The 22,510-nt window shown below is 43.8% G+C and overlaps 1 pseudogene across 1 annotated transcript in view, besides 1 other annotated feature; it reads right to left on the bottom strand.

Moving 5' to 3' along the window:
• The window catches only part of DMBT1L1 (deleted in malignant brain tumors 1 like 1 (pseudogene)), a 40,952-nt pseudogene that overhangs the window by 875 nt on the left and 17,567 nt on the right, over positions 1-22,510 (bottom strand). The window contains exons 11-27 of the transcript NR_003570.2: positions 21,831-22,021; positions 20,607-20,636; positions 19,916-19,957; positions 18,721-19,036; positions 17,456-17,485; positions 16,396-16,713; positions 15,882-15,914; positions 13,776-13,808; positions 12,300-12,453; positions 11,366-11,735; positions 10,593-10,810; positions 7,819-7,860; positions 4,992-5,021; positions 4,331-4,484; positions 2,024-2,240; positions 1,285-1,502; positions 21-125 (exon numbers count right to left, since the gene is read on the bottom strand). The product of NR_003570.2 is annotated as a deleted in malignant brain tumors 1 like 1 (pseudogene) (transcript). The remainder of the gene's footprint in view (positions 1-20; positions 126-1,284; positions 1,503-2,023; positions 2,241-4,330; positions 4,485-4,991; positions 5,022-7,818; positions 7,861-10,592; positions 10,811-11,365; positions 11,736-12,299; positions 12,454-13,775; positions 13,809-15,881; positions 15,915-16,395; positions 16,714-17,455; positions 17,486-18,720; positions 19,037-19,915; positions 19,958-20,606; positions 20,637-21,830; positions 22,022-22,510) is intronic.
• Positions 16,636-17,144: an enhancer, noted in NCBI's record as "H3K4me1 hESC enhancer chr10:124539143-124539651 (GRCh37/hg19 assembly coordinates)". NCBI's record gives its function as "activates a minimal SCP1, AML or CMV promoter by ChIP-STARR-seq in primed H9 embryonic stem cells {active_cell/tissue: H9 hESC(primed)}" and the evidence as "EXISTENCE:reporter gene assay evidence [ECO:0000049][PMID:30033119]".

Here is a 22,510-nt window from a genome sequence, read left to right as displayed (position 1 = left end):
TTCAAAACAACACAAATTACCTGAGGTTGGGTAACTCACAGCAGCAGATGCTCCTAGGTAAGGCAGAGAGGCAGTGGAAGACATAGAAGGTGTGGGTAGCTCATCTCTCTTCAGTTCTCCTAAGCCTGAGAGAGAGGTAGACTTGCTTACTTCAGTCAGAAAGGTACCACGTCTTGTTTGGCGGAGAACCTGCACACAATCTGGCATCTAAAAATGGCCCTGAGTTACTTTGGTTACAACTACTAGATGCCCTGGATCACCATGCTTGTGTCTGTTCTGTTGCCAGACGTGATGTCATCTCTTTTCTTCCTTCTTATTCTTTCTTCTTCCTTCTCTCTCCTCCTTCTCTTTTCCTTCTCTCTCTCTTCCTCTCCCTCTCTCTCCTTCCTTCCTCTCCCTCTCTCTCCTTCCTTCCTCTCCCTCACTCTCCTTCCTTCCTCTCCCTCACTCTCCTTCCTTCTTTCCCTTCCTTCCTTCCTTCCCTTCCCTCCCTTTCCCTCCTTCCTATCTTTTTTGTTTTTGGCAAACTGTGGCTCCAGGGACGGCCCCTGGCATGGAGCAGTTGGTTTGGTTTTCTAATTCTTCCTGGGTGTATGTGTGAGTCTCGCCTCTGAGTAAGTGTCAGCTCATAAAGGGCAGAACCGCATTTATCTCAAGGACATACACCAGTCACCTCAGTGCAAGGAGGGAGCCAAAAGGCCCCTGAATGGGCCGTGGAGCTGGGCCAGGAGCTGAGGGCCAGGATGAAAAAAGGCTCAGAGCTTCTGCTTGGTGGTCCATCCGGGCACCTGTGACCCACTGCCATGCTCTGCCCAGGGCCCTGGTTCCAAACCTCACAGCCCTTATAGCCCCAGCCCTGTCCTCTGATGTCACTCGGCATGTGGCACACAGCTTCTAAGTGTTATAGGTGGTTTTTGTATTAAATTCAGCTTGAAGCAGGTGGCTAGTTGAGATAGTTTTGTCCCAGAATGATTTTTCTATTGCATTTTCCTTTACTTCTTTGGAGAAGAAGGGGGCTGTCTTTTGGATCCATCTACACACACAGTCGATGCAAACTATGAGATTTCAGGCCATCTGTTTCTTCAGCCAGGATGCTTTGGTGGAGAAAAGTGACAGGGAGTGGCAGAGCAGGGTTAGAGTGAGGTGGGGAGCTTTTAGTGTCTGCATGGATGTCACTCCAGATGTCATTAATGAGGGCCAGATTTAGAAAGCATCTTCTCTCTTAAAAGGAAAGATCATATATCAGATCTAACTTCCTCCCATGGTATGTGTTAGAGTACCTACCGTTCTCCCTTTCATCTTGCTGAACGGTGTTGTACAGAGCATAAAACCCTGTGTTGGTGATCATGGCGTTGCTTCTGAACACTGTGGTCATGATGTTTGAAGAAGAAAGGAACGTGAGCTCTGTCCCAGCACAAAACCTGCCCATGGAGAGTGAGGCAGCCTGTTGTCCATCGAACACTTCGATAAAGTCGTAAGGACACCCATAGATGTCCTCTAATCTGAGGACATGAAGACAAAATTAATATCTCCAAGGAAATCTGCAAGATGTTTTAGAGTCATCTTTTGCATAGCATCCCGCCAAAAACTGCAGTCATCACTGCTACACCCCCTACTCATCATTTGACCTATTGAATCTGCCCTCCTGTCCTTTCCTACTGGGACTGCCCCAGGTCTGTTGGGTTCTCATCTTCTACCCAGTCTATTTCAGTAACTTCTGGTATTCTGGCCTTCAGTCTCTCCTATCCTCTTCCTCTCTACCTCGAGTGTCTCCTCAAGTGTCCCCCAACTCTTTAATTCAAATCTTGCCACTCTCTGGGGTGGTGGCAAATATCTAACAGTGCCTCATTGAGTTAAACTCTCCAGGAGACCCAGAGCAGGCAGAAATGGTGACAGTTGTAAGAGCTCCAAGGGTCTGTTGACTCCTCCCACCAATGCTCCGACCTGCCCTGTTCAAACCAAGTGTTTCGTGAATGTTTCATCCAACCTGGATGATCAGAGAAGCTGACCCTGGCCATCCTACCTGTTGCTGTCTTCTCCTTCTTTATTTTCTATCCTATTATCATGTATGTATATTTTTTTCTTCATAGCATTTTTCAATTTATCACTAGTTGAAATTGTCCATTGAGTCATTGGTTTATCTGAGTACCATTTGTCTCATCATCTAGAATATAAACTCTGTGAGGGTAGAGATCTCGTCTTTCTTGGTTGGCACTATGAGTCTGATTCTAGTCCAGGGCCTGCTCAATAAATTGAGTAGAGGCTTAATAAATACATGTTGAAAGAACATCAACATTGATCTAACATGATACAAGTATGAGAGATACATATTTGGATTTAAACAATAGTAAGCAGCCTTTGATGCCTATATGATACATTCTCATTGCATGATATATACAAGATAGACATAATTACAGTTGTACACAAACTAAATACTGCATTTGAAAACCTGCTTATTGCAGAACACATCTGTTCCAGTGAAGTAAAAGCCAAGTACCTTAAAATAACCCATTTTTATTTTTGTTTTCTTAAAGTAAGTGATCACATTTGTGTGTAAGGTGACAACAGTGTGGCAGTAACAGCTGACACTGCAACCTGAGAAATCATTTCATCAGAAAACAGGACATGCTTTAATTAGCAAGAATAAAACAGCATTAAGAGTAACGTCAAAACCTGCAGTTACTTTTGCCCCTACCTAATAGTTTAAATATGGATATAATTTTTACAAATTGAGCGTGAAGCAAGGTCCTGTAGGTGCTGAACTATTTTAAAAAATGAAAGTAAGAGTCAGGGTAAGTCGGGGTTTTTCAATCTCAGCAGTATTGATATTTGGTGCTGGATAATTCTTTTCTGGACAAGGAGTTGGGGGAGCTGTCTTGTTCACTGCAGGACACTTAGCTGCATCTCTGGCCTCCACCCACTAGCTGACAGTGGTGCCTTCTAATTGTAACAGTAAAAAATGTCTCCAGACCTAGCCAAATGTCTTGTAAGGGTATATAATCACTTCCAGTTGAGAACTGGAATAACAATAAATAGTAAATGATAACCAACTTTATCTTCTGAGTAACAAAAAAGCAAATTTCAATAAATCTAGGCTTTTAACATCAAAATTCAGAAATCAGCCACTATGGTCTGGTTTTGGGCAACACCTTAAAAACTCCTTAATTTGTGCACTCCAAAATTATAGTACGAAACTTATGTTAGAACAATAACTTTGACATTACAGGGGATGTGGGCCATTACAACTGTTTGGAATCACCATTTCCCAGAAGTGATAAAATTAAACTATGCCCTAAAACATTAGAACTGTGAATTTCATAGATCTGAAATACATGGTACCAACTCTTCTCACATTGCTTTCAACAGATAAATGTATGTTGAACAAAGGAATAAATGTATGTTGAATCAATGAATGATAAATGCATTTTGCTCCTACTGCATAATGTCCCCTGACATTAGCTTATGTCTTTTCTATCAAAAAATATGTAGCTACCAAGTAAAGCCAATGAAGTTCGCCCCTCCGCCACCGAGTACCATTTTACATTTTTAAAAGCAGCATTTAACCATTCAGATTCTCAAATGCTGTGGTCAATGACGACAGATGGAAAGCAGTGGCAGAGGTCTGGGGCATACTGTGGGACAAAGTAAGGAAGAGAGAATGACCTAGGTGCAGTAGAGCAAGATGAAACCGGGGTTAAACATTATCAGGAAAAGTAATATTTTTGTTTAAATGTTCCTCATGTATATGTATGCATATATGAAAATGTGTGTGTGTGTATATACACCTACATGCATATAAATGTACATTAAAATAGGATACATTCCTTAAAAATGAGTGACAGTTAAAGAAAGAAGTAGGAAGAACAAGGTGCATAATGGGGGAATGAATTAACTGTTTAATCTGTACAAGAAAATTCTTGGTAAGGACGTGATAGAAATTCTTGAAGAGAACAGGAAGCAGATTTGTGTAGCATCAGAGGGAAGAATGAAGATCAGACCATGAGGATGAAGAAGAACAGATCTGGGTTCAGATGGAGGAGGAAGCCTGTGTCTCAAACGGAACTGGTTAAAAGTGATGGGGTGAGGTCTTCATGTGTGGGTTGCCCCAGCTACAGCTCAACGGGCTGGTGTCAGGGAGGCCCATGGAGTGTTCTCTTATTGCACAGGAAGTTGAGCTAACTGATTAAATAACTCTCCACAGCTCAGATGATCAGAGCAATTCTCGCCTAAAATGTGAAAGGATTTATCCCACAAAAGCCTACCTCATTGAGGAAAGTATGGATTCAAATCTAAACTGGCCTTAAAAGTAAAGAAAGAAAATGTTGCTTACTTCAGGCTTGGGATCATCAGTTCTATGTGGAATTTCTCAGCCACGTGTATCACCCAGACGCACTCCAAGTTGGTGGGGTAGTTTGTAGGGTACCAAGGGCTGGAGAAGGAACCTGAGAGACTTGAAATCACTCCTCCACAAGAGTTACTTCCTCCTGTAAAAGCAGATGAGAGACCCATGGTTGGTTTCACTAGGCTTGCACGTTGCATTTTTCCAGATGTAGAATCCAGAATTCCATCAAGCTCAGCAGTGGAGTCACTAAATGGGGAGTGATCATGCTGGTGTAGACACAGTTGTGGTTTGGCTGGTGTGAGTGACTGTGCCACTGAGAGGGCATGAGGGAGGATGGAAGATGCATGACAGACAGGCACGACCCTACAATTGATTGTAAGCGATATTGGAAATGGGATTTGACACATGCATGTAGCATGTGTATAGTGAGGGCAGCCTGTATTTCTTTGATGCTCTCCCCAAGTCTCCTGCCATGCAAACCAGCTCAGCTCAGATGTGGATAACCCACCCATTTGTGAGGGCTCCATCCCACCCATTGCCCCTGTGGTAGCCAGTGCGCACAGAAGTCCATTCTGCTTTTATGAATTACAAAAATAATTCTCTGCAACTTAATACTGTATAGGTTACACTTTCAATGAAAGAGAGTTACCTTGTGGTATAGGGGCTGGAGGAATGATATCTGCAAAAACCAAAACCAAAGAAAATCAGGAGAGAGCTTAGCATCATAAACCATCTTATACTTAAGCACAAATGAATGAGCCTATTATTACCCTTGAGTTTTAATAAATGGTGTAGATGCTCATTTGTCTTTTCTCCCTGATCTGGAATGGAGCCTCTGCCCTTCTTTCAGCTGATTCATGAGGAAATCACCAACCACACACAGTTACATGACTTGTTTTCTCTCATATGCTAGGTTCCACACTCCACAGGTTATACTTGGGTTGACCAGTTACTAGGAATTACAGTGACATCACTGGGCTTATGACCATACCACTAAGCCTATAGAAATTTACTAAGCACTGAAATTCAGAAAACTAAAAACCAGAAATCTGAGAGCCAGGGTGGAGAAAGGCAGGTTGGATAAGTGTTCCATTGGAGAAATACGGACCTTAATGGGGAGGTCCAATGAGTGTTTAAGGTCCCTTCTTTTTCCTTTATTGTTTCCTCTTGGCTTTGATTTCTATGTGGCATACACAGTTGTCCCTCAATGTCTATGGGGGATTGGTTCCAAGACTCCCCAAGGATATCAAAATCTGCGGATCCTCAAGTCTCATATACAACATAGGAGTATTTGCATAGAACCTATGCTCATCCTCCATTATACTTTAAATAATCTCTGGATGACTTATAATACCTAATACAATGTATTATAACACTATGTAAATAGTAGTTACACTGTATTGTCCAGGGAATAAAGACAAGAAAAAAAGTCTGTACATGTTCAATACAGATGTAACTATTGATTCTTCTTCCTGAATATTTTTGATCCACAGTTGGTTGAATCCACAGATGTGGGATCATGGATACAGAAGGCCTGCTGCACGTCTATATTCTATGTGTGTCCTCAATACCCCCTGCATAGCAGGTGCTGAGGGGAGGGCAGCTATGAAAGCCTGATCATGAGAATGCTGTTAAATGTTTGGATTTTACACCAAGGGTTTATTGGGGGAGGAATTTGAAGCAAACATGTCAGATGTACTTGAGAATTCCTTTATCCCCATTGTTTTGCTCCTTGGCCAGCACTGCAGCAATGTGCAGAGCAGTGAAAGTGATGGACACGGTCAACTTAACCTGTCATCAGTCCTTTGCCTGAAGAAGTGCACTATATCACTGGAATACATTTTCACTAACTTAAAGTGGCTCAGAAGCAATTTTCTTTTGTTAAAATGCTTGATATGTGATATTTATCTCAGAGTATTAAATGGCAAAAGCCTTATATTTTTGTGTCTTGGTAGGTATATAATGTTCTATCAATAAGAATTTTTTTTGATTCATGCTTACAGTGGGATACTATTTAGACATAAGTGGTTGTATTTCCCTCCATAGTTTCCTTAATCCCATGACCCCTTCTTTTTTCCAGCCAGCTATGCACCTCTGCCTCAGAAAATGGATATTACAGCAGAAAGAAGACAGAAAGGCTTTCTGAGGTTTGAAACCCCAGGCTCCAAGGGGACTTGGGCCTAGAGCTGTTGATGAACTGAAAACCATCCCCTCTCCTCCTGCTGTCTTTTCCTCCTTCCAGGGCCCAGGCCAGAACAGACTCCTCACTGGGGAAGAGGAAGAAAGCCAGAGGGAATCAAAGAGAGTGTAGCTGCTTGTTAAACCCGAGAAGGGGTTCTGTGCACTCTGCCTCCCCTCCAGAGCAGCTACATAATTTGTGAGTCTCAGTGCAAAATGAAAATGTGGGGCCCTGGCCAGGGGTGGGGAAACCACTTTCCCCTTCCTACAGGTTACTGCCCTGACCCATGGCAGCTGGGCAACCCACAAGGAATGGAGGTCTCCATCTTGGGACGTACTTGGGACCTGGACTGGAATGGGCAAGAGACCTCCACAGAGTGTCCTGGCAAATGTGCCATGGTTCTGCCAGCCCAGGGTACGGACAGCTGCCATCTACCTTGTTGGGCCCCGAAATGCCACAAAATGCACCCCTGATCCCAATAGCTTCCTAGTGTCCAGGCCCCTGCTGGGGACAGAGTGTGGCATCAGTCACTGGGCAGGGTTAGGGAAGAGGCTGGGCAGGGCCCAGGGGCCCAGGGAGCAGAGAAGGGGGCAGCTGAGAACCCATCCCTGGGAAGCAGGAGGCTGCAGGAGGCAGGACCCCACATACTTCAGAATCTTGAGTTCGGGAGAAGGTCACTGCTGCACACTGACTTTGAGTAGTTTACCAGTAAGTCCACTCTGTTGTGTTGGCTAAGCCAGGAGGGCCACGGAAGAGCCCTAAATGGTTTACTTCTCATCAGCAGTCTGCTCTTGACTCACTGGGAGACAGTTTGACACTCGATGTATCTTTTCTTTCCTGCATACTTTCATTTTCTAACCCATGTACCTAAGAGACAACCTTTCCAGGGTCTCTCTTCTCCCTATCGACCTTCTTCTCAGCCATAGTGACTCAGTCTTTCTCCTCCTGCCCTCCCTTGCTCTGCCACCAGAAGAGAGTTTTGAATGTGATTCCATTTGGGAAATATGGCTCTTAGCTCCTTGCCTAAGCACTAGTTCTCAACCTTGGCTGCACATTGGAATGACACAGGGAGCTTCAAATATCACTGATGTCTGGGAGTGACCTCAGAGACTCTAAGGTGACAGGTCAGGGATGCAGCCTGGGCACCAGGAATTTCAAAAGCTTGCTGAGTGATTCTGGTGTGCAGCCAGAATTGGGAATCACCAGCCTAGTCATTGTTGACCAGTGTCTAGGTCAGGAGAGAGGTTACTTTTTTTTTAACTTTGCCAAGATAGTGCAAATTTAGTGTTGGACTTACCTGGGGGTGGAGGAATCACATCTGGAGCCCAGTCCCCAGCATCTGCATGCATACAAGAAAAATTTAGAAAAATCTAAATTACATTCTATGAAGACAAAGAAATGGTGGCTTTCTAGTGTGGGCAGTTCTCAAGCAGGCAGGTCGTATGTTACATAAACAAAAACGAGGGCATGGTTAGACCTGGAAAAGCAGTTCCAGAAATGGGAGAGGTGCAGAGAACAGAAGCAGCCAATTGTGTGGCTCTGCTGTGTTTGTCCTCAGAATGGAGCCAGGCTCACAGCATTCTCTGTCTACCTGGCCAAAGGGACATTCATCTGTTGGGCCACTGTCCCAAAATTCCCTGGCCCCACTTCATGCATGGCCTTCATCCATCACTAGGATGTCTTTGGGTGAAAGATCAGAAGGAATCTATCATGGAAGGAGAGGCCACCTGAGCAGACAACATTGGCATCCTCATGGTGGCCACGGTTGTGGTCTGACCAGCCGGAGCTGGGCCACTGGCCAAGGTGGTTCTCACTTCCTGAACACTGAATGTTGTCTAGAAGGATGTCTCCAGAACCTGGGCCAAAGTGGGCCTTTCCAGGAGCAGCAATGGCCTTACCACACCCGAGCTGCTGGCACACAACCTCAGCTTCATTCAGATCCCACAGGTCATCACACACAGTGCCCCAGGAGCCCTTGTGTAGGACCTCCCCATGTCCTGAGCACTGGCCAGAGCCACCCACCAGCCGCAACTCTGGTCCATCTTCTAAACAGAGCAAAATTTTATTTTTGAGTTTGATAAGTTTTAAGTAGCAAGTGATTTCTGGCTTCTGTGTTTGTGGCTAAGGCAACCACAAGAGCAAAACCTTAAAGCCAACTGATTTAATCAGGCTTAAGGGATTCAGAGTGAGATAGGAAGTGGGTTTGAATCCTTGTTCTATGGCTTCCTAGTTGTGTAAATTTTGATAAGTGACTGTCTCCCTGACCCTCAGTTTTATCACCTGTAAAATAAGGACTCTAGCAGCATCTGGAGGAGATGCTACCAATGAGAGTGTGCTCAGCACCCAGCACGTCAGGGTTACTGCAGAACTTGACATATGGTTTTTGTGTCACAATGCTGGGTTACAGGAGAGCAGGTTCCCAGCTGCTTTTTTATATGTGTCTTGAATAAGGGTAGATTTAATCCCCTGAAACGCACCTGGACCACAAGGGTGACTGTGACTTCATAGAACACAGTGGCAATGCTCTATCTGGACTGAAGGGCTGTGGCCGATTAGAATTATCTGCTATCTTGGCCGGGCGCGGTGGCTCACGCCTGTAATCCCAGCACTTTGGGAGGCCGAGACGGGCGGATCACGAGGTCAGGAGATCGAGACCATCCTGGCTAACACGGTGAAACCCCGTCTCTACTAAAAATACAAAAATTAGCCGGGCATGGTGGCGCGCGCCTGTAGTCCCAGCTACACGGGAGGCTGAGGCAGGAGAATGGCGTGAACCCGGGAGGCGGAGCTTGCAGTGAGTCGAGATCGCGCCACTGCACTCCAGCCTGGGCGACAGAGCGAAACTCCGTCTCAAAAAAAAAAAAAAAAAAAAAAAAGAATTATCTGCTATCTCTGGAGGCACTGTAAGGACAGCCTTCCCTTACTGTGTCCACTGGCTCTGTCACTTTGGCCTTCTTTCTGTTGCTTCAACATGCCCAAGTCTTTCCTCCACCTGTAATGCTTTTCTTTGTCATTCATCACATGCCACGTCTTCAGAGATACCATCCATTCTCATCCAGCCCATAGTAGCACCTACTCTACTCAGGCACCCTCTATTCTCCCACCTGACTCCTTATTCCCAGCCTTCACCTCTGTCCTTTATCATCCTTACCCCAAAACCAGTTTGTTTATTTCCTTGTTTCTTGTGTTTTGATCCTCTCTCACTTACCCACGTCCACACTAGAGTATAAACTCCATGAGGGCACGGAGCTGTACCATGCTCCCACACTTACAACTGGACCTGGTATATAATAGGACCTCTGTAACTATTGTTAAATGGCTAAATGGTGGTCTTGAGTTAATGAGTGTCTGGATTTCAAATGTTGGAGCTTACCTTGCTTTGCCAGGGCAGAGTTTCGAACATTGCTTTAGGGGTGAAATATACAAGAAATTCCCTTACTCCGATACAAGCAAACCCCAAACCACATCCAGGGACTTACTATCTGGCTTTCTGGTGGCCTAAAAGAATTTCTGGGGTTTCTGTAGGGGCCTCTCAGCATCAGAAGTCTCACACTTGGCAGGCAGTGTGCTTGCAGGGTGCAAATTGGACCTGGCTTTGGAATGACTGCCTGCAGGGTCATGACTGCCTGCAGGGTCATGGCTAACAGGAATCCCCAAGGCTCTCATTTGGGTGAGACTAGGTTTCAATGTATGCAAGGTATAAAATGGGCCAGCTCGTGGAGGAAGTGGAGTCTTGTCATACGAGTGTTGAACTTCCACATTTCAGCACTCTGGACAGTTACCAAGAGGCTGTGGAGGGTGGATGCAGCCCCAGGACGGTTCATAGCACCCAGCTTTTCCCTGCAGGCAGTAGCAGCCTGGCCACTCACACACAGAATGCACATGACTGCCTCATTGTAGCTTCCCATGTGGCCTTCATGGTGGGAAAATCTAGCAGCTATGGAGCAGGGTTAATGAAGCTAGTGTGGGGGTCTTAAAAGACTGAATCCTAGGGCTCTACTGGCAAAGGAGACTCTGAAGTTAGAATCTGTTCTGTCTTTTAACCACCAAAAACTACTTGAAGTTTCCTACCTGACTCCCTTTCACCCTGAGGAATGGCATTGAAAAGAGCATAAAAGCCAGTGTTGGTTTTCATAGAATCACTTTGGAACACCACTGTCATGATGTGTGAGGAGGAGAAGAATATCACAGTTTCAGGGGCACAGAACTTCCCCATGGAGAGCGAGGCAATCCTGGGACCATTGAAGATTTCAACGGAGTCATAGGGACATCCAAGGATATCTTCCAACCTGGGGTGAATAGACATGGAGGGGTAGTGGCAGATTAGAAACTTCCTAAAATTTAATGCTAAAAAAGTGTGACAATCATAGAGATTACATATTTGGATTATATTTAAATTGCACACTGAAATGTAAAATACTAATTAATTTTTTCAGATGACCTATCACAACTCTATTTTCTTTGGCTAAGGAATGTGTGGGGCTTTCAGCTACAATCTCATAACAGAAGTTTAAAAATTATAATGGTTTTGGCCAATCACAACCTACATAGGACATTAGGAAATACTAATTTACTCTGCAACTAAATTCATAACAGTCAGATCACCCCAAAGATCAGCATGTAACAGACATCACGGCCAGATTTTTCCTACTTCTGTGTTTCACAATAATTGCCATACTCGAATTCTTGGGTAGGAAAAAACTTGATTTTAAAATAAAAGTGGTGGCAGGATATAGAAGAATAGTATGGCAATTATTCACGAGAAAGGTAAGGGGAAGCAATTTTGAAGGAACAGACAATGGATAACATAATAGAATTTGGAGGTGTGGGTTCAAGGTCCTTACCTCATTGTGGCTAATTGTGTCCCTAAAGTTTTAGTCAACAAATATATCCTGAGGCATTTTTGGCTTAGTGCATGTCTGAATCCATGGTTGTGGTACAGTCATGATGGAACGCAATTCAGTGCATGCCTGGAGCTAATGATCATGGAATTCTACAGTCTTGCTGTGTTTGTAACACGATGTGTGTCATGCACAAGAAGAAGGGCTTCATGCAGACTCTTTTACAGACCCACATATTGGTGAACAGATGGGTCATTGACATCAGACAGATCTAGATGGGTTGGCCTTGGGCAAATTAGTTATCCTCTCTGAGCCTCAGACTCCTCATCTCTAATGGAGATGACAAAGACGTCTATCTTTGGACTGTATAACCCTGGAATATGACAAAGCATACAAAGTCTGGGCTAGCATTAAAACATCAGCTGTTATTTTATGTCATAGAGATAAAAATGTCAGTGACTTTCGAACATTTATTCTCTTTATGTCAGAGATAAGGCAATGACATTAATGTCTCCTCTTACTTTGCAAAACATTTAGAAGATGCAGGACCCAAAGCTGGAGTAGTTGGCTAATGTGTGTATGAAAATTCTCTTACCGTTTAAAATTTGGATTCAAATAAGAAAGTCTAAGAGGACAAATATTGATACCCAGTGTACAATAAGGGCAAAACTGTTGAGGATTTTTGTGACATTTTTAGAAAAAAAAGAAACACTATCAAAATATGTTAATAAATCACTTACTGAATTTTTCAACTAAGAAGTAACTCATTGGATAGTGCTACAAAGCTAACCCAAAATTTGACTTGGAAAAACTATAGAATGTTGGGTGCTTCTGCTTTCACTCTTAAATGTTTCCCACTAAAAGAAATACCTTTAATATGATTTCACAAATCAATATTCTTATTTACATAGAACGTTCTCTTTAAAAGTTTTCTTACTTCAAACTTGGAATTATGAGTTCTATGTGAAATTTTGCACCCATGTGGATCTCCCAAACACACTGGATATCTGTTGGGTAGTTTTCTGGATACTGTGGACTAGAAAATGAGCCAGAGAGACTAGAAATGACCCCTCCACAAGAGTTACTTCCTCCTGAAACAACAGGAAAAATGGTGTCAGAATGTGTCCATTTGGCATCATTGTGTAATCCTAATAAAGACCAGTTTACATGCAGTGGTCTGGTAGAATTGGGCGCCAATCGGCCTGGGTGGGCATGCACAGGCTGTCTGAGCAGACCTTTAGCTTAAATGTTTCTTGGGAAGGAGAGTCTATTAAATCTAATTCTGATGAAGCAAAAAGTATTAATGTGTGAATGTTCCCTGCTTTTCCCTCTCTCTCAGCACCTGATAAAGAAAATGTGCAATTTGTCCTTTCTGCTTACAGTTTTCTCCCCCTCTCTAAAGTAGGGGTTCTGCTTGCTGGGGAGGGACAGAGTAATGAGAGACTGGAAGGAGAGATGAAGAAACAGAGGCCACATGTGCTTGGGAAAGGGGAGAGTTTGGGGAGGTTTGGGGAGCAAGAGGTTCTAGAACAACTTTGGGTTCTGATGAATTGTAGGTAAAGGGAAAAGGACACTGATCTGTCAGGGGATGTTATGACCAGCACCTTCTTTAAGTACTCTGCCTCACTTTTGCTGGGTAGATTATGTTTCCTTTAACTCAGATATTTAGTCTGAGACTGGAACTTGCAGGATTTTGGATTTATAAGGGTTAAACAAGGTAACAGTGAAATCTAATAGTTTCATGTATGTTGTCATATTAGCATAGATAGATACACACACATACATGTATGTATTTAAAACAGGATTTCACACAAAGAAAGCAGATTTCACACAAAATTATTTTGGAGGAAATGTGAAAGTACAATATTCTTTATTGACCTTGTCCCTAAAATATGAAGTTGCTTAATTTTTCTACTTTCTGTTCCTCTTGGACAACTTGTGATCCTCCCAGAATCCCACAGATTCCTCGTCTTTCCTGAGATGGACAGCAGGAAGCGATGATGCTCCTGGTCATCTGGTAGTTTTATCACTGACCACATTTATAAGCTACAATAATGAGGCCAGGTCAGGCTGACACTGAAACCTCTGGGAGTTGGACCTTCTGAAATCTCTACACGTGGCAAGGGATAATGGGCTGGTTCCTTCTATAGGACTGTACCCAAAGAGGGAAGGCTGAGTATGGGCCAGATGTCTGACCTGGGCAGATACACATCCCCCTTCCCAGTCTGATCCTTTTGTTGTAAAGTCAGTATTTTTTACAGACTATATTACACAGAGTGGCAGCAGAGAAGCAGACCCCTTGCCCACACTGTGCCAGGCTCTGTTGTGCTATGTCCTGGGCATACTGCCCAGCATTTGCCACAATAGTTCTCTTGACATGGAATGAGCATTTCAATTTAAAATAAAAGGCTACCTTTTATGTGATCCTGAGAAGCTGTAGAAGAATCTGAAAGGGAAAAAAGGCAGAAAATGATGACATCCAGATGAAAATATTTAGTCTTATCTATAAGTCAGTAAAATGTAAAGGGTTTCCTTAGAAACATCAATGTACTTAGTGCAAACTGAGAAGAGTCTGCACTGAAGGTGCTGAGTCAATATTTTCTATGGTTCTGTGGCAGGTTAGAGAAGGCCACAAATTCTTAGACATGCCTCCTGTCACAAGGTGGGGTCTAGGTAACCTCCCTTGAACCTGGGTGGGTTCTGTGACTGCTCTGACCAACAGAATATGGTGGCAGTGGCTCTGCACCTTAAGAGACTGGTGGCTTCCACCTCCCATCTCTGGGAACACTGGCTCGCTCATGGAGCCCTAACCCACCTTACAAGAAGTCTGAGTGTGGCCAGGTGCAGTGGTTCACGCCTGTATTCCTAGCACTTTGGGAGGCTGAGGCAGGTGGATCACCTGAGACCAGCCTGGCCAACATGGTGAAACCCTGTCTCTACTAAAAATACAAAAATTAGCAGGGCATGGTGCCTATAATCCCAGCTACTCTGGAAGCTGAGGCATGAGAATTGCTTGAACCTGGGGGGCGGAGGTTGCAGTAAGCAGAGATAGCACCACTCCACTCCAGCCTTGGCGAAAGAGTGAAACTCTGTCTCAAAAACAAACAAACAAACAAACAAAAAGAAGTCTGAGTGTGCATGGTCTCTCAGCATGGTAGTCAGACTTCTTGTAACCTGAGACCACCTAAAAAGGAAGAGGGCTGTGGCTGAGCCTTTCCTTCCAGCTGATCCCACCAAGGCACCAACTATATGAGTGAAGCTGTCTTGAATTCTCCAGACCAGTCATCAGATGAAATCCATTGAGCAACCCTGCTCAATGCTCTGTGGAGCAGAAGGGTCTCCCAGCTGAGCCCTGCCTGAATTCCTGACCCTCAAAGACATAACATACATCTAAATGGTGGTTACTTTATATTGCTAAGTTTCGGTGAGCAATAGATAACCAGAATGGCTCCTTTCACTCAATCTCATTTTTCTCATTTCCCTGCTGTCCATAAAATGAGAAAACTACAGATGATCTTCATTGGAATATCCACTGCCCTTGACCCTAACCATGGCCCTTTAACTTTAGGCAGTCCCTCCCTTCTCACTCATGGTACCAATGGGTAAAGCTGGCCTTCCTTCAAGAACACCAGGACACATCGAGGTCTTCTCCAGGCAAGTGCCCAAGAGAGATGCTTCTGCCAATGGATGATGGCTTATCTGTGTTCACTGAGGCTGTGTAGGGGACAGCCAGGTGCATTCAAAGGGTGAGAGATGGCTTTGTAAATTCCAGTCCTGCCACTTTCTAATCAAGTTATCTTCGGTAGGTTTTTTGATCTCCCTAATCCTCAGCTGTGAAATCACCTTTCAATCACCTTCAGCATCATTTCAGAATTCACAGTGCATGTAGTTGGTCTGATTTTTCTAATATTTGGTTTTTATTACAGATGAATATTAGTCAATAATTCATTTGTAAGATCTTTGAAAAGAGGTAAAAGTCATAAGATCCCTAAGAGCATGACTTTGGGGCCAGACTGATCAGTGTCAAAATTTGGGTCATTAACTTACTGAGTGATCCTGAGAAAGTTACTTAACCTTTCTGTGTCTCAATTTTCTCTTCTGTAAAATATAATAGATAATGCCTTTTGGCAGGATTGTCCTGATGATTAGCAATGATCTGAGCAAAACGTCTCCCCACATTTACTCGAGTTTTCCCTGGTCTTTGTGTAGCTGAGCCAAGGAATGGGTAAATAAGGCTAATGGCCAAGAGCATCGACAGCTTGGGTTCAGATACCCTGGCTAGCCCTGGGCACCTTGCTAACTTTCAATGTCTCAGGTTATCTGGAAAATATGAATAATCCAAGAACCTGTCTCAAGGGGCTATTGAGGGGATTGAAAGAGTTATATATGTGAAGGGCTCAGAACAGTGCCTGGTTCTTACTTATTACTTATTACAGCAAATACTTATAAGTATTTGCTGCTTTTATGAGTAGTAGTAGTAGTAGTAAGTTGCCTGAATTAGAAAAACATATGGACATACCTGGAGGTGTGGGTGGAGGTAGGTCTTCCGCATCTGAATGCATAAAGGTGACAGGTTACTCTATTTGGGGTGACAAGGTATAGGAAACCAGAATACTGGAATTACCCCTTGGGCTACTTCAACCCTCCTCTGGCAGGGTCCTTGGCCTAGGAGGCTGGGGGACAGCAGCTGGGTCAACTCTGTCCCATAGCAGCCAGGGCTGGATTGCCTTTGTCCCTTCTTATGCAGAATCCCTGAACCACTTGTTAAGATGCAGATTCCAGAGACTTTTTCCTACTTAGTCATAATCTCTGGAGGTGGGACCCTAGAATCTACATTGTAATGCCCAGATGGTGCTCATGCCAAGTAATTAGTAATTTCCTGTGCAACCAGAGCTGCCCATGGCGTCTCAAGGAGATGCTTCAGAAACGGGCAGACACATGGATGGATGGATGAAAATGCCACCCAGGATGCAGAATTTCAAAATGTCACAATTGCAGCATCAGAAATCACTGGCTGAGAGGGGATATGTTACCTGAGCAGATGACACTGGCATCCTCGTGGTGGCCACAGTTGTGCTCTGACCAGCCCAAGTGGGTACACTGGCCCAGGTAGTGCTCTACCCGAGTGCACTGGAGGTTGTCCAGGAAGATGTCTCCTGAGCCTGGGCCAAAGTGGGCCTCGCCAGGGCCAGAAACAGCCTGCCCACACCCCAACTGCCGGCACACAACCTTGGCTTCATTCAGGTCCCACAGGTCGTCGCACACGGTGCCCCAGGCACCCTGGTGGAGAATCTCCACGCGCCCCAAGCACCGGCCTGAGCCGCCCATCAGCCTCAGCTCCGGCCAGCCCTCTGCAGACAGAGACACAGCATGTGATTTCCCAAAAGACCCCGCCTGGGTCCACCAGTGCCAGCTCAGAGAGGGTTAGGGAGGGACATTCCCCAGTCTTGAGCCTTGGGGCTTTTTCCTCAGATTTCTCACGTGTTCCTGAGTTGCAGGTTGTGGGGTCTTCAGACAATTTAATTTCATTTTAAGTACTTATTGATTGTCTTTTATGTTAGGCACTGATGATACAGCTCTAAACCAGGGATGTGATTTCTGTCCTCAGGGAGCCTGGAGTCTATTTATTAGTCAAATGCAGGCACTGCCACAGTGCATCATTGCATACTGTGATAAATGGGCCAAAGAGGGGAAAAACAGGATGCTATGAAGGGGACAATAGAGAGGAAAGGGCTGGAGGACACCTCTTTAAAAACTGAGAAGGAGCTAGTCAGGGGAAGAGCTGAAAAAGTGCCCTGAGCCAGAGGAATAGTGTATGCGAAAAGGCCATGAAACACCGTTTCACTCTGCATGCATCTCCAAAAAATATAGACTTCACACACACACACACACACACACACACACATCATCATCATCATCACATGTAAAAAATCAAAAGTATTTTTAAATAAGACTTTCTAATAGAATATCAGTGGTGTGAAAAACCCTGCAGTTTAGATAAAGAGTGAACTTAAAACTGAAAAAACAAATAGCTTAAGGACAAAATCAAGAACAGCTGATATTTAACTCCCGTCAACAAAAGGTGTGACTGACCTGGACTGTTAGCAAGTGATTCTTCAGCATCTGTTTGTAGAGAGAATAAGTATATCAGTATTTTTTGGAAATCCTGACTTTAATAACTGAAGATGAAGGTTTTAGTTCCATCGTTATACGCATTTATTAATCTGATGTGGGAAAAATTAGTCCTTTTAAAAAACATAGTACTGGGAGAAGCAGATTCATCTGTAGATAATGAAAGTAAGTTTCTCTCTGGTTGTTGGTTTGTACCAAGTTATGTAAAAATGGCCGGATGCAAAGGTACATTTGGGATGATCTGACTTAAACCATCAATTTTGCAGCAGGTGTTTCACTTTTGGTGTCTCTGGGGGGACCTCAGATTTAGACAATCATCCTCTGGAAGATTGAGACGTGGGAATAACATATACCCAGGAGGCTGTCACTAGGATACATGTCACCCATGATAAGATGTCACAAGGTAAATAGACAAATGAATGCACCAACACATAAGACAATGTCTTTAAGTATGCACTTCAAATTACAGGTCACGGTTAGCAGGTACTGACATGCAATTGAGTTGCTTCTCATGTGGGCAACTCTGTGCAACAAACCCTCCTCCTTTGAGTTATGATTACTGATTTTTTCAAATCACATCAGCTATTACAGCTGTTAGTTTACCAAAAGGCATCTCATTATCAGAAAGGATTATTGATAGACATTCCAGAGGTGGCTAACTTACTCGTAGCTGTTTATACACAAGAAAATTCAGAAAATATTTTAAAAATTGTCACAAGCCAATTGAAATAAGTCAGGTTAGTGCACAGATTTCCTTGGTGTGGTGATTGAGTGAGGACATGGCAATAAGAGTTACCAATATGTTTAAGAGAGAGTTTAAGTGTTGCTCACATACAGTCTGTGTGTCAGCACAGGCTCTGGAAGCCAGATTCAAGTCTTCCTAGCTCTAAAGTCTCCCCTAGCCTGGCTACTGCAGGCTGCCTCTTTCAATGAGCTCCTTATTCCCATCATTAAAAAATTCTCACCATTAAACATGTTATTTGCATATTTCAGTAAAGCACACACACCTTTGGTAATACTTGCTACCAAATTAGAAAACGAGGTTTTATATTGGAGGCTAGCGGATAAAACCTCATCTATTTAACCAAGTTAGAAAAGCTACAGCAAAAATCAAATGCTAAATGTTTGAGGATTCTGTTTTTGTTCCAGGCTGACTCTGAACACTGGCAGGGAGATTTTGAAGCACTCTAGGACTGGCAGTGCCCATATTAGAGGGGAGAAGATACCTGAGCAGATGACACTGGCATCCTCGTGGTGGCCAGTTGTGCTCTGACCAGCCCGAGTGGGTGCACTGGCCCAGGTAGCGCTCCACACCAGCGCACTGGAGGTTGTCCAGGAAGATGTCTCCTGAGCCGGGGCCAAAGTGGGCCTTTCCAAGGGCAGACATGGCTCGACCACACCCAAGCTGCCGGCACACAACCTCAGCTTCGTTCAGGTCCCACAGGTCATCACACACGGTGCCCCAGGCGCCCTGGTGGAGAATCTCCACGCGTCCTGAGCACCGGCCAGAGCCACCCACCAGCTGCAGCTCCGGCCAGTCCCCTGCAGAGAGAGATCTGGTGACTGTTGTCCTCTGGGGGCACTGCACCCTTCCCATGAGTGTTGAGCTCCCCACCCCATACTACTACTAGTGGAGAACCTTGTACTTGGTCAACTATTCAACCTCTTAGTTGGAAGTTGCAAAGCCATTAGGATTGTCTGTAGCACTAAAAGTCCATTAATTGAGTATCTATTTTTCCAGAGGTATGTGCCCATTTGTTTTGGCTAAGTGCAGAAAAACAAATAATTTGCACAGTGATTTGTGATTTTAGAAAGTGTGGTGTGTGTGTGTGTGTGTGTGTTCACCTCCACCTTTATCATAACTCAGGAAGGTAAACAGAAGAGTATTGGTGTACCAATTTTATCTATGAGGAAACTGAAAGTTGGAGAAGCAAAGTGATTCACTCCCAATCCCACAACTGGTAAGCAGCAGATCTAAAGTCCGGTCTCCTGGTTCCAAAGTTCACAATTTTTTCTCTGCTATTCTATCTCACTGCCTCTGAAATGGCTCTGACACTCCACTTACTTTGCTAAAGTCTATTGGTGATGAGGATGGGGAGCTAACCATGATCAGTACTGGTCATAAGGTGGAAAGATAGAACCCCACTAGAAAGTACTTGTAAGCTGCTCAAGCTTTGATGACTCTGAAAGGTACCAAAAAATGAAGTTTACTCATCCTGGGATGCTAGAGCCAAAAGATCCCAAAAGTTTTGAATGTCTCTAAAAGTTTGGGCAGAATCAAATGTCCCATTTGCAAATAGATGCACTATTTGCAGTTGGTCCAGTTTCTGTGCATGAAGCAGATACAGGTGAGGATACAAATGCAGGTGCTGAGAGGAAAGGACACAGTCAGTAAATGAATAAATGCATTTCAGGGCTTACCTGCTCTTGCTGTTACTGTTCTGGGTGTTGCTGTCGGGATGGCTGTGGATACAAGAAGACTCCCATAATTAAGAAGGGACGACTTGGGCAAGTCAAGAGGGCAGCATTCTGGGATCAGTCTTCAGTAAATGCCAAGATTCTGGCTGATTCTTTTTCCCTGTAATCTTTGTAACATGTGATCTCCCAAATCAAACTCTGTTTTCACGTGTGTCTTTATGTTTCTCAGGTATGTGGGGTCAAAAAAAAAATTCTCTTTTTCTGCTCAGTTACCATAAATATAACAATATTTAGATTGTGCTATTCTATGCAAAAATGCAAACATTCACTATCAGTGTCCTGGGGAAAACAGCTGTTTCTTCTGCTTGCTTCTGCTTTGTTAACTTTCCCTAAAAGTGAGTATCTGATTAAGTGAGTCACTGGCTTTGATAAACACAAAAAAGGAGATCAAATAAAAAATTATCAATATGCAAAGACTCAATCGTTGATAGGCATAACTTGGTTCCAGTGTAAATGGGCATCATATTTGTGCAGAAACTGTGCAGACAGAATCTCTCATCTACAGAAGATTTATACAGGGAATTTGGAATCATCTATGAGAGACAGAGCAAATAATGAGAGTAAAAGCACTGGGAGAGGGGACACAAGAAGAAATTAGGGGTGAAATTTGAGTAACAGCATGAACGTGACTCACTGATTAGATGTGGGGTCTGCAACACTGCCTCTGCAAGTACAAGGAAATACATCGTCAATAGCCATTTAACATCAATTACGGTGATTTTTCATGATCTACTTTGGTGCACAGAGCATCTCCTTTGTGTTTTATAGCATGTTTCCAAAGCTTGCTTAGTGAGTCAACCTGGCACTTGGTAAAATACAAGAGACTGTTTTGAACAATGTCTTGGAAAAAGTGGATACTAGTTATTTGCAGTTTCATGAGCTCTGCCCGTTTTCTTTTAGTGGTGAATAATGTAGAACCTTGGATAATTACTGAACCTCATAAGTCTCAGTTTCCTCATCTGTAAAAGGGGAAGAACCATGGGTCTGTGTGAGGATAGCATATGTGAAGTGCTTAAAATGCTGCCTGGCATGTAATAGGGACTCAGTAAATGTTAGCTGATATTTTGAGCATTTTGATCACTGTTGTTGTTATTATTGCCTAACCCTGAGTACCCAGCACTTCAACAGGCACCTTTGGCTTAGTCCATCTGCCTTCTTGCCACACACTTTATATATCCTATCTCTAGGCCATGCTGTTACCTCACCTGATGTGCTATCTCGCTTTCTCTACCTATAGCCTAGCCAGCTTTAGAAGCCGTTTCCCCTCAATGTTTCCTTAATACTTGTAACCTATATAGCACTCTCTCTCTTTCCTAATGTCTTTTGCACAGGTGCATGCATATGTCAATTTAGTATATTCTCGTATATTTATCTGTTCTATTGTTTGCCTTCTTCTAGTGTTTCTATTTGTCCTCTATGCATACCCCTTGTGTTTGCCTTAAACTTCCTCTTGGTTGTACATGAGCCTCTCTCAGGCTGAGACTATGATTTCTTCTGCAGGTCCTAAAACACCTACCTAGTACTAGATTCAGAATAACTTCAGAAATGACTTTCTAATGGGCTGACTGTGATGAGATGTTCATGTAAAAGGAAAAAGCTCATGATAAAGCAGCCCATTATCAAGCATTTATGACGTGCCATCACTTTGCAAAGTGTTTTACTTACCTCATTGCATGTAACCCTTACAATAAACCTAGAAAGTAAGGGTTCCTTGTTGTCCCCATTATGCAGGAAAGGAATTGAGGCTGGGAGAGGTCAAGTTGCTTGCCCAAGGTCACAGAGTAAGTGATAGGACTGTGACTCGCTCCTAGCCAGAGAGTCCAGCTCTGGAACTGTTGCTCTTTACCACTATTCTTACCTTTGGGTGCAGAGTAATAATAAGCAATGAAGTTTTATCCTAGGTTGTTGAAGCTTCGGAAATACACGAGGGTCATTGAGCTGGAGGAGGAGATGTAGGTGTGTTGGAAGCCAGAGCAGGTCCTCCCCAATGACTTTACTGAGGATGGTGGACCGTCCAGGATTTCAAAATATTCATTGGTGCAGTCAAGGCTGGGGAAGCAAACACCATGGATGCCTCTCAGTTTCCTCATTAGAAGACATTTGAGGCATGCTGTGAGACAGATACTTCACTTTGTTACTACAAAGATGTTGGCGATAGAGTAAAAGCGTGGCAGTCATTTAAACATAGCATGGGTTCCTTTGATCCTACTTTTTCTAAGAGACATTGCTTTAAGGGAATGGGATTTTAATTGGAAGAGGAAAGAGGAGGCTGGCACGAAATGTGCTCCTGGAAGCAGCCCAAGATGGCAGAGTACTTCACAGCCTAGGGCCAAGGGAAGGGCCTGGGAAATCAAGGCAGTTTCACCATGTGGTGATTGAGGGGCCCGGGAAAAGGGAGAGGCTGCTTGCTTCTCATGGGCCTGCCAGTAGGATGTGGTTCCAAGTTGTAAATAATGCATTTACAAGTGTTTGGCAGTAGACCCACCCAGAGGAAAGTGGGTACCACTTGCTCTGTGGAAGTTATCTGATTTTGTCAGC

This window comes from Homo sapiens, chromosome 10 (genome assembly GCF_000001405.40).
Source record: "Homo sapiens chromosome 10, GRCh38.p14 Primary Assembly".
In the NCBI taxonomy this organism is placed as follows: domain Eukaryota; kingdom Metazoa; phylum Chordata; class Mammalia; order Primates; family Hominidae; genus Homo; species Homo sapiens.
This window is presented reverse-complemented; position numbering and strand designations above follow the sequence as displayed.